The sequence below is a fragment of the Homo sapiens genome, chromosome 9 (assembly GCF_000001405.40).
Source record: "Homo sapiens chromosome 9, GRCh38.p14 Primary Assembly".
In the NCBI taxonomy this organism is placed as follows: domain Eukaryota; kingdom Metazoa; phylum Chordata; class Mammalia; order Primates; family Hominidae; genus Homo; species Homo sapiens.
The window spans coordinates 30,103,560-30,118,371 of NC_000009.12; the positions used below are offsets into that span (position 1 = coordinate 30,103,560).

At 36.9% G+C, this 14,812-nt stretch overlaps 2 annotated features.

Annotated features, from left to right (window-relative positions):
- Positions 3,318-3,819: an enhancer, noted in NCBI's record as "H3K4me1 hESC enhancer chr9:30106875-30107376 (GRCh37/hg19 assembly coordinates)". NCBI's record gives its function as "activates a minimal SCP1, AML or CMV promoter by ChIP-STARR-seq in primed H9 embryonic stem cells {active_cell/tissue: H9 hESC(primed)}" and the evidence as "EXISTENCE:reporter gene assay evidence [ECO:0000049][PMID:30033119]".
- Positions 13,155-13,785: an enhancer, noted in NCBI's record as "OCT4-NANOG-H3K27ac hESC enhancer chr9:30116712-30117342 (GRCh37/hg19 assembly coordinates)". NCBI's record gives its function as "activates a minimal SCP1, AML or CMV promoter by ChIP-STARR-seq in naive and primed H9 embryonic stem cells {active_cell/tissue: H9 hESC(naive and primed)}" and the evidence as "EXISTENCE:reporter gene assay evidence [ECO:0000049][PMID:30033119]".

The following is a 14,812-nucleotide window of genomic DNA, read 5'->3' on the forward strand; positions in this document are numbered from 1 at the left end:
GCTTAGGGTATAATTTTACAATTTTCTTTTACTTGATGTTTGGGGGAATGGGAAAGACTCTCATTGGTTGATGGGTCTTTAAATGATTTTCTGATTTTTATTGATAACTTTTAAAAGACATATTGAGTTAAAAATTAATATTGTAATTTCTCGGTAGTTTACAATATTTTTAGTTCAAGGACACCCTCTTCTTACATTGTTGCAAAGTCTAAACTCTTGGACTAGATTGTGGGTTATGTTTTGTTTTTTTTCAAGTGGGGAGAGAGGTTATGTGTCAGCATTTTTCCTTTCTTGTTTGTCTTGTAGAACACCTAAAGTGTCCTTTTTGCTTCTCTTCCCCATTAACCATCAAATTGCCAGAGGAGGCCTCCCTTGTCTTTTTTTTTTTTTTTCTCTGCCTCAAACTTCAAATCACATTTACATGGAAGCTCTTTTCATACAGTCCAGGCTCTTACATAGCCATATGCATTTTTAATATTTTTAATCTCGCAGTGGACCTAGTGATTCTGTGATCTGTCATTAGCTCCCCATTTCTGTCTTCCTTGCTTTATTTTTTTAAGTACTTTTGTTCACAATGAATACTTGTGGTTGGGTGGATATACCAGGATCTGGTGCTATTTCCTTTATTTACTTTCAGTTACTTCTATATTTGGGCATTCTATGACCTTAGGTTATGCTGAGTCAGTATGTATTTGTTCTTTTTATTATTCTGTATTTTTGTAGAAAATACTGAGAGTTATGAGGAAGGATTGGATAAACCCTCTTAAGAAATATATCTGCAAAGTCTGTCTCTGTGTATCCTTTTATTATACATCTCTATCTTTCTGTTTTCATACTTTAGCGGGGTTTGTTTTGGTTTTGCTCATACAATCAGTTCTCACATTTGGCTTTTACCTTACTGGGTACTTGAAATATTTTTACTGCCTCCAGTATAATTTTGTGCTCAGTAGTATTCTGTTTTTAGACAAATTATCTGGATATTTATCATCCTGTTTCCAGTTCCATAACCCTAGTATATTCTCCATTCAGTTGAAAGTTTAAATAATAATTCCAAATATAAAAATTTTTTCTTGTTTTTTTAATATGTATATTTCTGAGAAGAGAATAAAATTTTTCTTATTTTTTGGTATTGTTACCTCTTATTTACTTGCAGTATCTTTGATAGGTTTGCTGATTTTTATCTTTTTATTTTAGAGACATTTCCTTGATTGTGATTTTCTGTTTATTATATCTGACTACTCTGGGGCAAAAGATTGCTATTCTTTCGTTACATATTTTATAACTTTATGTAACGAGGGAAAATCTAAGATGACACTTTTGCAGAGAAAATTATGTTCTAAATTTAGTTCTGGTATTCAACTGAAATGACTGAGTCTTTTCCTCAGGTTACAATCATTGAATTAGGAAGGGAGATATTTTGCAACATTACTTAAGTAAAAGCCATCCTTCAATAATTACCTTAGTTCAGTGGGTTTTATCTCCTAATTTTTTTTTCTTTTTTGAGACAGGTTCTTACTCTGTCATCAGGCTAAAGTGGAATGGCATGGTCACAGTTCACTGCAGCCTCTACCTCCCAGGCTCAAGTGATCCTCCAACCTCAGCCTCCCAAGTAGCTGGGACCACAGGTACACACCACTATGCCAGGTTAAATTTTTATTTTTTATTTTTGTGGAGATGATGTCCCACTATATTACCCAGACTAGTCTTGAATTCCTGACTTTAAGTGATCCTCCTGCCTCAGCCTCCCAAAGTGCTGGAATTATAGGCATGAGCCACCATGCCGAGGCTGTCCAAATATTCTTGATTCTACATAACTAGGCATCATTTCTCATGTTCAGAGACACTTCTAAGCATAATTCATCCTTAGAAAGATCCGGAACCATTGGGACCAGAAACCTTTCTTCCTTGTAATAAAATTTCCCTATGTAACAGGAAGTAAGATATTTTGAAACTTTAAAATAACAGAAATTATTTTAACACTCTCTTTTAAAAACAATAAAAATTTCTCTACAAGTAATTTTTAAATAAAAGGAATATTTGCCTTAAGGTAATTTTCTTTTAATGTTTATATCGTGTAGTAAGGAACAACTTCTCTGCTACAGAAGAAAAAACACATACATTTGACTTGTAGGTGCCACCCCTTGACCAGTGAGCTGAATTATGCAATCTTAGTTTTGCCATGTATTCAAACAATAATACATTTTATGATTTTTAATAGTTTGAAAATTGTGATTATTTTCATCTGTGAAAAAAATGAAACAGAAACTTTTAAAATAATTCAACCAAATATTGGATTATCACCGCCCAGTGCTCTGTGATCATCCCTCAAAAATTATGGCATAAAGAGAATTACATTGTCAATGCATTCTTACCAAATGAGCATGAATTATGATAATGAGAAGATTAGAATAATATGAATCTCTCATTTAATTTTCTATTTTTCTACATTTAAAATGTAAATTATAAAACCCAGTAGAGACACTTTCATAATACTACATATATACATTGGAAACTTTCAAATACAAGTGTTAATATAGGGTAGACAGCCCTACTCTCATTTCCTATCTTTAATTTTCTCATTTAGTGATGCCCATGCATCCTGAAGAAAGCTGTTCAAGATGCCACAACTCCACTGGTAAAACAAAAGATATCTATACATAGACTTTCCATTACCTCTTTTACATTTTAGCAGCTGGCATAGGCAGATGTTTGCTGTTTCTTTCTTTTTTTTTTTTCTGGCATTTTATTGAAAGGAACAATAAAAAGTCTGTAGCTCAATCAAAAACCTGTGTTTTCTTTCATTTGCTTAACTGCAAGCCGAGGTAGAGAGTTGAAATCTTAAATTTACAACTAAAAATCAAAATACCAGATGGTTTTATAATTGGATATTTCTTTTCCCCTAGAGCAAACCAGACTTTCTGAAAGATGAAGATACAAGCTAAAAATATCTATGGATGTAATATCCAATCCCTGTACGTACTTGAAAGCAGGTAACTTGAAAGAAAAAAAAAGAAGGGAAAAATACCCATTCGTTTAATTATTGAAAACTGTAGACTTAGCAAACTTACACCTGTGTGAGTCATTGTGTATTGGTTTATGGTCAGCCATTTTGAATATTTTATTTAACATAATAAATCATAATTTTTGAAAAAAGTATATATTTAAGTAAATCTTATGGCATTTTAGATTTCATTTGAGGTAATAATGGCAATACAATTATAAATTTTAGTTAGGATATTTTACCAAGAACACAAGATAGTAAAACAAAATCAAAGAAAAATATTATATTAAATTAAAGATAATTGGGGGGAGGAGCCAAGATGGCCGAATAGGAACAGCTCCGGTCTACAGCTCCCAGCATGAGCGACACAGAAGATGGGTGATTTCTGCATTTCCATCTGAGGTACCAGGTTCATCTCACTAGGGAGTGCCAGACAGTGGGTGCAGGTCAGTGGGTGCACGCACCGTGCGCCAGCAGAAGCAGGGCGAGGCATTGCCTTACTCAGGAAGTGCAGGGGGTCAGGGAGTTCCCTTTCCTAGTCAAAGAAAGGAGTGACAGACAGCACTTGGAAAATCGGGTCACTCCCACCCAAATACTGCGCTATATTGACAGGCTTAAAAAATGGCGCACCAGGAGATTATATCCCGCACCTGGCTCAGAGGGTCCTAGGACCACGGAGTCTCACTGATTGCTAGCACAGCAGTCTGAGATCAAACTGCAAGGCAGCAGCGAGGCTGGGGGAGGGGTGCCAGCCATTGCCCAGGCTTGCTTAGGTAAACAAAGCAGCCGGGAAGCTCGAACTGGGTGGAGTCCACAACAGCTCAAGGAGGCCTGCCTGCCTCTGTAGGCTCCACCTCTGGGGGCAGGGTACAGACAAACAAAAAGACAGCAGTAACCTCTGCAGACTTAAATGTCCCTGTCTGACAGCTTTGAAGAGAGCAGTGGTTCTCCCAGCACACAGCTGGAGACCTGAGAACAGGCAGACTGCCTCCTCAAGTGGGTCCCTGACCCCTGACCCCCGAGCAGCCTAACTGGGAGGCACCCCCCAGCAGGGGCAGACTGACACTTCACACGGCCGGGTACTCCAACAGACCTGCAGCTGAGGGTCCTGTCTGTTAGAAGGAAAACTAACAAACAGAAAGAACATCCACACCAAAAACCCATCTGTACATCACCATCATCAAAGACCAAAAGAAGATAAAACCACAAAGATGGGGAAAAAACAGCGCAGAAAAACTGGAAACTCTAAAAAGTAGAGCGCCTCTCCTCCTCCAAAGGAACACAGTTCCTCACCAGCAGCGGAACAAAGCTGGACGGAGAATGACTTTGACGAGCTGAGAGAAGAAGGCTTTAGACGATCAAATTACTCCGAGCTACAGGAGGACATTCAAACCAAAGGCAAAGAAGTTGAAAACTTTGAAGAAAAATTAGAAGAATGTATAACTAGAATAACCAATACAGAGAAGTACTTAAAGGAGCTGATGCAACTGAAAACCAAGGCTCGAGAACTACGTGAAGAATGCAGAAGCCTCAGGAGCCGATGCGATCAACTCAAAGAAAGGGTATCAGCGATGGAAGATGAAATGAATGAAATGAAGCGAGAAGGGAAGTTTAGAGAAAAAAGAACAAAAAGAAATGAGCAAAGCCTCCAAGAAATATGCGACCATGTGAAAAGACCAAATCTACGTCTGATTGGTGTACCTGAAAGTGACAGGGAGAATGGAACCAAGTTGGAAAACACTCTGCAGGATATTGTCCAGGAGAACTTCCCCAGTCTAGCAAGGCAGGCCAACATTCAGATTCAGGAAATACAGAGAATGCCACAAAGATACTCCTCGAGAAGAGCAACTCCAAGACACATAATTGTCAGATTCACCAAAGTTGAAATGAAGGAAAAAATGTTAAAGGCAGCCAGAGAGAAAGGTCGGGTTACCCTCAAAGGGAAGCCCATCAGACTAACAGCGGATCTCTCGGCAGAAACTCTACAAGCCAGAAGAGAGTGGGGGCCAATATTCAACATTCTTAAAGAAAAGAATTTTTCAACCGAGAATTTCATATCCAGCCAAACTAAGCTTCACAAGTGAAGGAGAAATAAAATACTTTACAGACAAGCAAATGCTGAGAGATTTTGTCACCACCAGGCCTGCCCTAAAAGAGCTCCTGAAGGAAGCGCTAAACATGGAAAGGAACAACCAGTACCAGCCCCTGCAAAATCATGCCAAAATGTAAAGACCATCGACATTAGGAAGAAACTGCATCAACTAACGAGCAACATAACCAGCTAACATCATAATGACAGGATCAAATTCACACATAACAGTATTAACTTAAAATGTAAATGGACTAAATGCTCTAATTAAAAGACACAGACTGGCAAATTGGATAAAGAGTCAAGACCCATCAGTGTGCTGTATTCAGGAACCCCATCTCATGTGCAGAGACACACATAGGCTCAAAATAAAAGGAGGGAGGAAGATCTACCAAGCAAATGGAAAACAAAAAAAAGCAGGGGTTGCAATCCTAGTCTCTGATAAAACAGACTTTAAACCAACAAAGATCAAAAGAGACAAAGAAGGCCATTACATAATGGTAAAGGGATCAATTCAACAAGAAGAGCTAACTATACTAAATATATATGCACCCAATACAGGAGCACCCAGACTCATAAAGCAAGTCCTGAGTGACCTACAAAGAGACTTAGACTCCCACACATTAATAATGGGAGACTTTAACACCCCACTGTCAACATTAGACAGATCAACGAGACAGAAAGTCAACAAGGATACCCAGGAATTGAACTCAGCTCTACACCAAGCGGACCTAATAGACATCTACAGAACTCTCCACCCCAAATCAACAGAATATACATTTTTTTCAGCACCACACCACACCTATTCCAAAATTGACCACACAGTTGGAAGTAAAGCTCTCCTCAGCAAATGTGAAAGAACAGAAATTATAACAAACTATCTCTCAGACCACAGTGCAATCAAACTAGAACTCAGGATTAAGAAACTCACTCAAAACTGCTCAACTACATGGAAACTGAACAACTTGCTCCTGAATGACTACTGGGTACATAACGAAATGAAGGCAGAAATAAAGATGTTCTTTGAAACCAGTGAGAACAAAGACACAACATACCAGAATCTCTGGGACGCATTCAAAGCAGTGTGTAGAGGGAAATTTATAGCACTGAATGCCCACAAGAGAAAGCAGGAAAGATCCAAAATTGACAACCTAACATCACAATTAAAAGAACTAGAAAAGCAAGAGCAAACACATTCAAAAGCTAGCAGAAGGCAAAAAATAAAATCAGAGCAGAACTGAAGGAAATAGAGACACAAAAAACCCTTCAAAAAATTAATGAATCCAGGAGCTGGTTTTTTGAAAGGATCAAAAAAATTGATAAACCACTAGCAAGACTAATAAAGAAAAAAAGAGAGAAGAATCAAATAGACGCAATAAAAAATGATAAAGGGGATATCACCACCGATCCCACAGAAATACAAACTACCATCAGAGAATACTACAAACACCTCTATGCAAATAAACTAGAAAATCTAGAAGAAATGGATAAATTCCTCGACACATACACTCTCCCAAGACTAAACCAGGAAGAAGTTGAATCTCTGAATAGACTGATAACAGGATCTGAAATTGTGGCAATAATCAATAGCTTACCAACCAAAAAGAGTCCAGGACCAGATGGATTCACAGCCGAATTCTACCAGAGGTACAAGGAGGAACTGGTACCATTCCTTCTGAAACTATTCCAATCAATAGAAAAAGAGGGAATCCTCCCTAACTCATTTTATGAGGCCAGCATCATCTTGATACCAAAGCCGGGCAGAGACACAACCAAAAAAGAGAATTTTCGACCAATGTCCTTGATGAACATTGATGCAAAAATCCTCAATAAAATACTGGCAAACCAAATCCAGCAGCACATCGAAAAGCTTGTCCACCATGATCAAGTGGGCTTCATCCCTGGGATGCAAGGCTGGTTCAATATACGCAAATCAATAAATATAATCCAGCATATAAACAGAACCAAGGACAATAACCACATGATTATCTCAATAGATGCAGAAAAGGCCTTTGACAAAATTCAACAACGCTGCATGCTAAAAACTCTCAATAAATTAGGTATTGATGGGACGTATCTCAAAATAATAAGAGCTATCTATGACAAACCCACAGCCAATATCATACTGAATGGGCAAAAACTGGAAGCATTGCCTTTGAAAACTGGCACAAGACAGGGATGCCCTCTCTCACCACTCCTATTCAACATAGTGTTGGAAGTTCTGGCCAGGGCAATTAGGCAGGAGAAGGAAATAAAGGGTATTCAATTAGGAAAAGAGGAAGTCAAATTGTCCCTGTTTGCAGATGACATGATTGTATATCTAGAAAACCCCATTGTCTCAGCCCAAAATCTCCTTAAGCTGATAAGCAACTTCAGCAAAGTCTCAGGATACAAAATCAATGTACAAAAATCACAAGCATTCTTATACACCAACAACAGACAAACAGAGCACCAAATCATGAGTGAACTCCCATTCACGATTGCTTCAAAGAGAATAAAATACCTAGGAATCCAACTTACAAGGGATGTGAAGGACCTCTTCAAGGAGAACTACAAACCACTGCTCAAGGAAATAAAAGAGGATACAAACAAATGGAAGAACATTCCATGCTCATGGGTAGGAAGAATCAATATTGTGACAATGGCCATACTGCCCAAGGTAATTTACAGATTCAATGCCATCCCCATCAAGCTACCAATGACTTTCTTCACAGAATTGGAAAAAACTACTTTAAAGTTCATATGGAACCAAAAAAGAGCCCGCATCACCAAGTCAATCTTAAGCCAAAAGAATAATCCTGGAGGCATCTCACTACCTGACTTCAAACTATACTAGAAGGCTACAGTAACCAAAACAGCATGGTACTGGTACCAAAACAGAGATATAGCTCAATGGAACAGAACAGAGCCCTCAGAAATAATGCCACATATCTACAACTATCTGATCTTTGACAAACCTGAGAAAAACAAGCATTGGGGAAAGGATTCCCTATTTAATAAATGGTGCTGGGAAAACTGGCTAGCCATATGTAGAAAGCTGAAACTGAATCCCTTCCTTACACCTTATACAAAAATCAATTCAAGATGGATTAAAGACTTAAACGTTAGACCTAAAACCATAAAAACCGTAGAAGAAAACCTAGGCATTACCATTCAGGACCTAGGCATGGGCAAGGACTTCATGTCTAAAACACCAAAAGCAATGGTAATAAAAGCCAAAATTGACAAATGGGATCAAATTAAACTAAAGAGCTTCCGCACAGCAAAAGAAACTACCATCAGAGTGAACAGGCAACCTACAAAATGGGAGAAAATTTTCACAACCTACTCATCTGACAAAGGGCTAATATCCAGAATCTACAAGAAACTCAAACAAATTTACAAGAAAAAAACAAACAACCCCATGAAAAAGTGGGTGAAGGACATGAACAGACACTTCTCAAAAGAAGACATTTATGCAGCCAAAAAACACATGAAAAAATGCTCACCATCACTGGCCATCAGAGAAATGCAAATCAAAACCACAATGAGATACCATCTCACACCAGTTAGAATGGCAATCATTAAAAAGTCAGGAAACAACAGGTGCTGGAGAGGATGTGGAGCAATAGGAACACTTTTACACTGTTGCTGGGACTGTAAACTAGTTCAACCATTGTGGAAGTCAGTGTGGTGATTCCTCAGGGATCTAGAATTAGAAATACCATTTGACCCAGCCATCCCATTACTGGGTATATACCCAAAGGACTATAAATCATGCTGCTATAAAGACACATGCACATGTATGTTTATTGCGGCGCTATTCACAATAGCAAAGACTTGGAACCAACCCAAATGTCCAACAATGATAGACTGGGTTAAGAAAATGTGGCACATATACACCATGGAATACTATGCAGCCATAACAAATGATGAGTTCATGTCCTTCGTAGGGACGTGGATGAAACTGGAAATCATCATTCTCAGTAAACTATTGCAAGAACAAAAAACCAAACACCGCATATTCTCACTTATAGGTGGGAATTGAACAATGAGAACACATGGACACAGGAAGGGGAACATCACATTCTGGGGACTGTTGTGGGGTGGGGGGAGGGGGGAGGGATAGCACTGGGAGATATACCTAATGCTAGATGACGAGTTAGTGGGTGCAGCACACCAGCATGGCACATGTATACATATGTAACTAACCTGCACATTGTGCACATGTACCCTAAAACTTTAAGTATAATATAAAATAAATACATAAATAAATTAATTAATTAATTAAAGATAATCATCATCTTTGCCACATACAAGGTCCAGTAAAATAATAATTAACCAAAATTAAGAATGTTATATTTATGGTTTCAAATTTGCCTTTCGTGGTGTGCTGAATAATGCCCACCCCTCCATAACCAGATTCTAATCTATAGAACATGTGCATATTACTTTGTACAGCAAAAAAGACTTTGCATATGTGATTAAATTAAGGATTTTGAAATAGAGAGATTATCTTCTATTAGCTGCATGGCACAAAATATATTCACAAACATTAGAGAGGGAGGTATAAGCAGCTTTAACTACAAAGATAGAGGACAATGTGACTACTGCAGCAAGATGCTATGCTACTGGCATAGAAGTCGGAGGAAAGGGCTGCAAGCCAAAGAATTCAGGTGGCCGTAAGAAGCTAGAAATGTCAAAGGGACTTTCTCCCAAAGCCTCCAGAGAGGGAGTGAAAGTGGCTCTGCTGAACTTTGATTTTGGTCCAGTGAAACTGATTTTGGCCTTCTAATCTGTGGAACTGTAAAAGAATGTGTGCTGTTTTACACCATCAAGTCTGTAGTTATTTATTATATTAGAGCAGACACATAAAACTAATATAGTGTTTAAAACAAAAAATTACTTTTAGTAGCTTTTACGTTCATGAAGATTACAAAACATTTTTTAAAGTATTATAATGCCTAATTTATTTAGAGACTAAAACATAAATATTTCTTCTAAAAGAATTTTTATATGACTGAACTCAGCATAAAAAGCAACAGACACATATAACCACATGTGTAGCTTAAGATATATGTATATGCACACATACAATGTGTAGCTTAAGATATATGTATATGTGTACACATACACATGTGTAGCTTAAGGTATACGTATATGCACACACACGTTGTCTACGCTCTTTTCTTTAAAATATTGTTTTAAAATGTATCATCATCTTTCCATGCATTTTGATCTGAACATAGATATTTTAAGATTTAACAAATTAGTCATAATTATATAAAAATATGCTTGTCCAAACTTTGATCCATCTAGGTAAAATTAAATAGTTTTTCCAAAACTACATTAAGATTTTTGTTACTGCACTTTTTTTTTGTTTTGTTTTTTGAGACAGAGTCTCGCTCTGTCACCCAGGTTGGAGTGCAGGGGCACAATCTCGGCTCACTGCAACATCTGCCTCCTGGGTTCAAGCAATTCTTCTGCCTCAGCCTCCTGAGTAGCTGGGATTACAGGTGCATGCCACCACACCTGGCTAATTTCTGTATTTTTCGTAGAGACGTGTTTCACCATGTTGGTCGGGCTTGTCTCGAGCTCCTGACCTTGTGATCTGCCGACCTAGGCCTCCCAAAGTGCTGGGATTACAGGCCTGAACCACCACACCCCGCTGTTATAGCACTATTGTATTCAAAGTACTTTGGATGTGTTGGGTAGTTGAATGTTCACACTTTTTGGATAAGTACTATCATTACCCGAATTTATGGTTGAAAAAAATTAAGTATAAGGAAATAACATTAGTTATCTATAAATATAGCAAGAAAACTGCAGTGCCTATATAAAAACCCTATCTCATTCATTTGTAACTATGAGAACCATTATTTACAGAATATATCATTTGACGAGTAATCAAAAACAGTGTTTGATTTTTAGTCTCATGTTTTATAATAATAAAGTGTGTTAACCAGTTTTCAAATTTTGTACATTTCCAAATTTATTGTCTTGGTTAATTGCATTTTACTCTTTCAAGTTTATAAAAGTTAGGTATACTTTAGTTGATTCCATCATTTTTTAATACTTCTACTAATAATTTGTCTTTTTCCTTGCTTTTAATCCTGACTTGATTTTAGTTAACTTCCATTTAGCAAAATCATATTTTGTATGTATCTATGCTTAGTAGTATTTTTACATGAGATAATCAGGTAGTCATTTGCCAATATTGTTACGGTGTGGCTGTGTCCCCACCTAAATCTTATCTTGAATTGTAACTCCCATAAATCCCACATATTGTGGGAGGGATCCAGTGGAAGATAACTGAATCGTGGAAGTAGTTTCCGTTATAGTGTTCTCATGATGGCGAATAAGTCTCATGAGATCTGTTGGTTTTGGACAGGGGTTTCTCCTTTAGCTTGTTTTTCTTTCTCTATAGTCTGTCACAACGTAAGACGTGCCTTTTGCCTTCTACCACGATTGTGAGGCCTCCTCAGCCAGTGGAACTGTGAGTCCATTAAACCTCTTCTTCTTTACAAATTACTCAGTCTCCATAATGTATAAAGAAATTAACAGCAGCATGAAAATGGACTAATACAAATATGATACTTCTTTCCTCTTTAGTAATTATTTTTCAGGTTAATATGTAAACATTTGTCAAATTTAATGCTAGCTTTGGCATATAATATACAGTTAGGACATCATAAGGTCTTTGAAATGATCAATTGTCAACTTCAAAATGCTTAATTGTCAACTTCAAAATGCTTCGCTTATCTACTAATTTTTTCTATCCCGCTTTATTCAGACCTCGATGATAGGGTTTTATTTACAGAGTTGCTGTTGTTGCTGCTCATATGGCAGCTGTTGTTTTCGTATTTGCGTTTACTATTTTATTAGATGCTTCAAGGCAGAGTTACATCTCAAACAACTTTGAACATGCAGAAGTAAAGTAAGTTATTTAAAGAACACTTTCATATATTATATGGACTATCCTGATCGTTTTAATTTAAATATACTTTATGATAGAGCCAAGTACGTACTATGCTTCTTTAAAGTAGCATATCTACATAATGATTTCATTTCCTTTGGGTAGATATCCAATAATGAGAGGCCATTGTTTTCAGTGAAATAATACAGAAACAGAAAGTCAAATACCACATGTTCTCACTTGTAAGTGGCAGCTAAATAATGGGCACACATGGATATAAGCTATGGAATAATAGACATTGTAGATTAGTAAGGTTGTGGGGTAAAGGAGGATGGATGAGAAATGTGAAATTACCTAATGGGTACAATGTAAATTATTCAGGTGATGGTTACACTAAAAGCCTAGGCTTCACCGCTATGCAATATATCTAAGTAACAAAACTGCACTTGTACAACTTACATTCATATGAATTTAAAAAATAAAAAAAGTAAAAGTAGCAAAATGTCTTGAGTAACAGGATCAACATTTATTTTATTTGCATAAACATATAACTATCAACATTAGCATTTTTATTGTTAAATAGTTGACTACAGTGTTATAGTATTCAAATTATTTTAATTTAGATAAACTCCCTGTATTTTCAATGTTTATTAACAACCTCAATTTATTGCATCTAGACAGGATAATATGACTATCACAAATTTAGAACTTATTCTTGAATATGTATTTTGTTTTCATTTTATAATAATCAATTTGAAAATAACTTTTTTACAAGTCAAATATAAATCATGCACAATAAGTCATAAATAGGATTTAATATACTTTGTAAGTTTATGCATCAAAATAAAATTTTGTTTTAATAGCCACGCTAAAGTTGAATAAAATTAAATTCATATATAATATTTAAATGTTTTTGAAAAATTTGCTTTATTGTTACCAGAGAATCATATTTTAAACAAGAAGAGAGTAATATTAGTCAAATATTTAGTATCTTTTCATGATTAGTACCTTATTGCTGAAGAGTCAAACTCTGTAAAATATTTATCATTAATGTATAATTTATAATTTATTATTTATAATTTATCATTTATTTATTATTATTATTATAGAGATATATTCTGAGCTAAATATGAGTGACCCATAACACAGCCCTCAGGAAATCCTGAGAATATATGCCCAAGGTGTTTGGACTATAACTTGGTTTTATACGTTTTAGGGAGACATAAGACATCAATCAATATACGTAAGATGTATATTGGTTCAGTCTGGAAAAGCAGGACAACTGGAAGTTGGGGGTTGGTTGGGTAGGGGGTGGGGAGGTAGGAGGGGCTTCCACGTCATAGGTAGATTAATAGATTTTCTGATTGGCAATTGGTTGAGAGAGTTAAGTTCTTGTCTAAAGACCTAGAATCAATAGAAAGGAATGTCAGGGTTACAATAAGAGCTTGTGGAGACCAAGGTTTTATCATGCAAATGATGCCTCCAGGTAGCAAGCTTCAGAGACAATAGACTGTAAATATTTCTTATCAGATTTAAAGGGTCTGTTCTATAAGTCTTAAGGTCTATGTTGATGTTAATGCTGATCAGCTTTTCCTGAATTCCAACAAGAAGGAAGGCATAATATGGCATGTCTGACTCCCCCTTCCCTGAACTAGGTTCTACAGGTTAATTTTGGGATGCCCTTTGCTGAGAGGAGGGGTCCATTCAGATGGCTGGGCTGGGGCAGTGCTTAGAATTGTATTTTTTGTTTAATGAAAATAATATAGGCCAGGATCAGTGACTCATGCTTGTAATCCTTGCACTTTGGGAGGCCAAGGCAGGTAGATCGCCTGAGGTCAGGAGTTCAAGACCAGCCTGCCCAAACACGGCCAATATGGTGAAACCCCGTTTCTACTAAAAATACAAAAATTAACCGGGCTCGATGGCCTGAGCCTGTAGTCTCAGCTACTGAGGAGGCTGAGGCAGGAGAATAGCTTGAACCCAGGAGGTGGAGGTTTCAGTGAGCTGAGATTGCATCACTGCACTCCAGCCTTGGTGACAGAGCGAGACCCTGTTTCAAAAAAAAAAAAAAAATGTTATAACTAATACCATTGGCCAGTCACGGTGGCTCAACCTTGGGAAGCACTTTGGGAAGCCAAGGTGGGCAGATGACTTGAGGCAAGGAGTTTGAGACCAGCCTGGACAACATGGCAAAACTCTGTCTCTACTAAACATCAGCCAGGCATGGTGGTACATGCCTGTAATACCAGCCACTTGGGAAGCTGAGGCACGAGAATCACTTGAACCTGGGAGATATTGGGTGCAGTGAGCTGAGATGGTGCCATTGCACTCCAGCCTGGGCAACAGAGCTATATATTTTTTTTTATTCTCAAAAAATAAATAACTAAAATAAAAATAAGTAAATAATACCATTGATTGAATGTATTGCCTCATATAATTATCTGAGAATTGTGTTTACCCTTTCATGTTACTGCTAAAGAGCATTCAGTACATTTACTCTAATGCTTAATCCACCCAGCCATTTAGAGAAATATTCACTTGACAATAATTTTGAAAGTTTACATATGTAAACTTTCTGTGTAACTTCATCCAGAAATTTTTCTCATCATCCCCTACAATCTGTCATTATTAGATTAGGATTTTTGTGGTCCATTGTTACTTCCTGAGAACTAGTTTGACTAAATCTTTTGTGTTAAGATGCCTACTTCATTGCTTATTCAGTAGAAAATGGCCAATGTAGGTTAGTTTGATAAAATGTTAGACTAATGGTTAGCAGATGGACTCCCAAAATGAAACTGAACATCCTTAAAAATGTGAATTGTGTGGT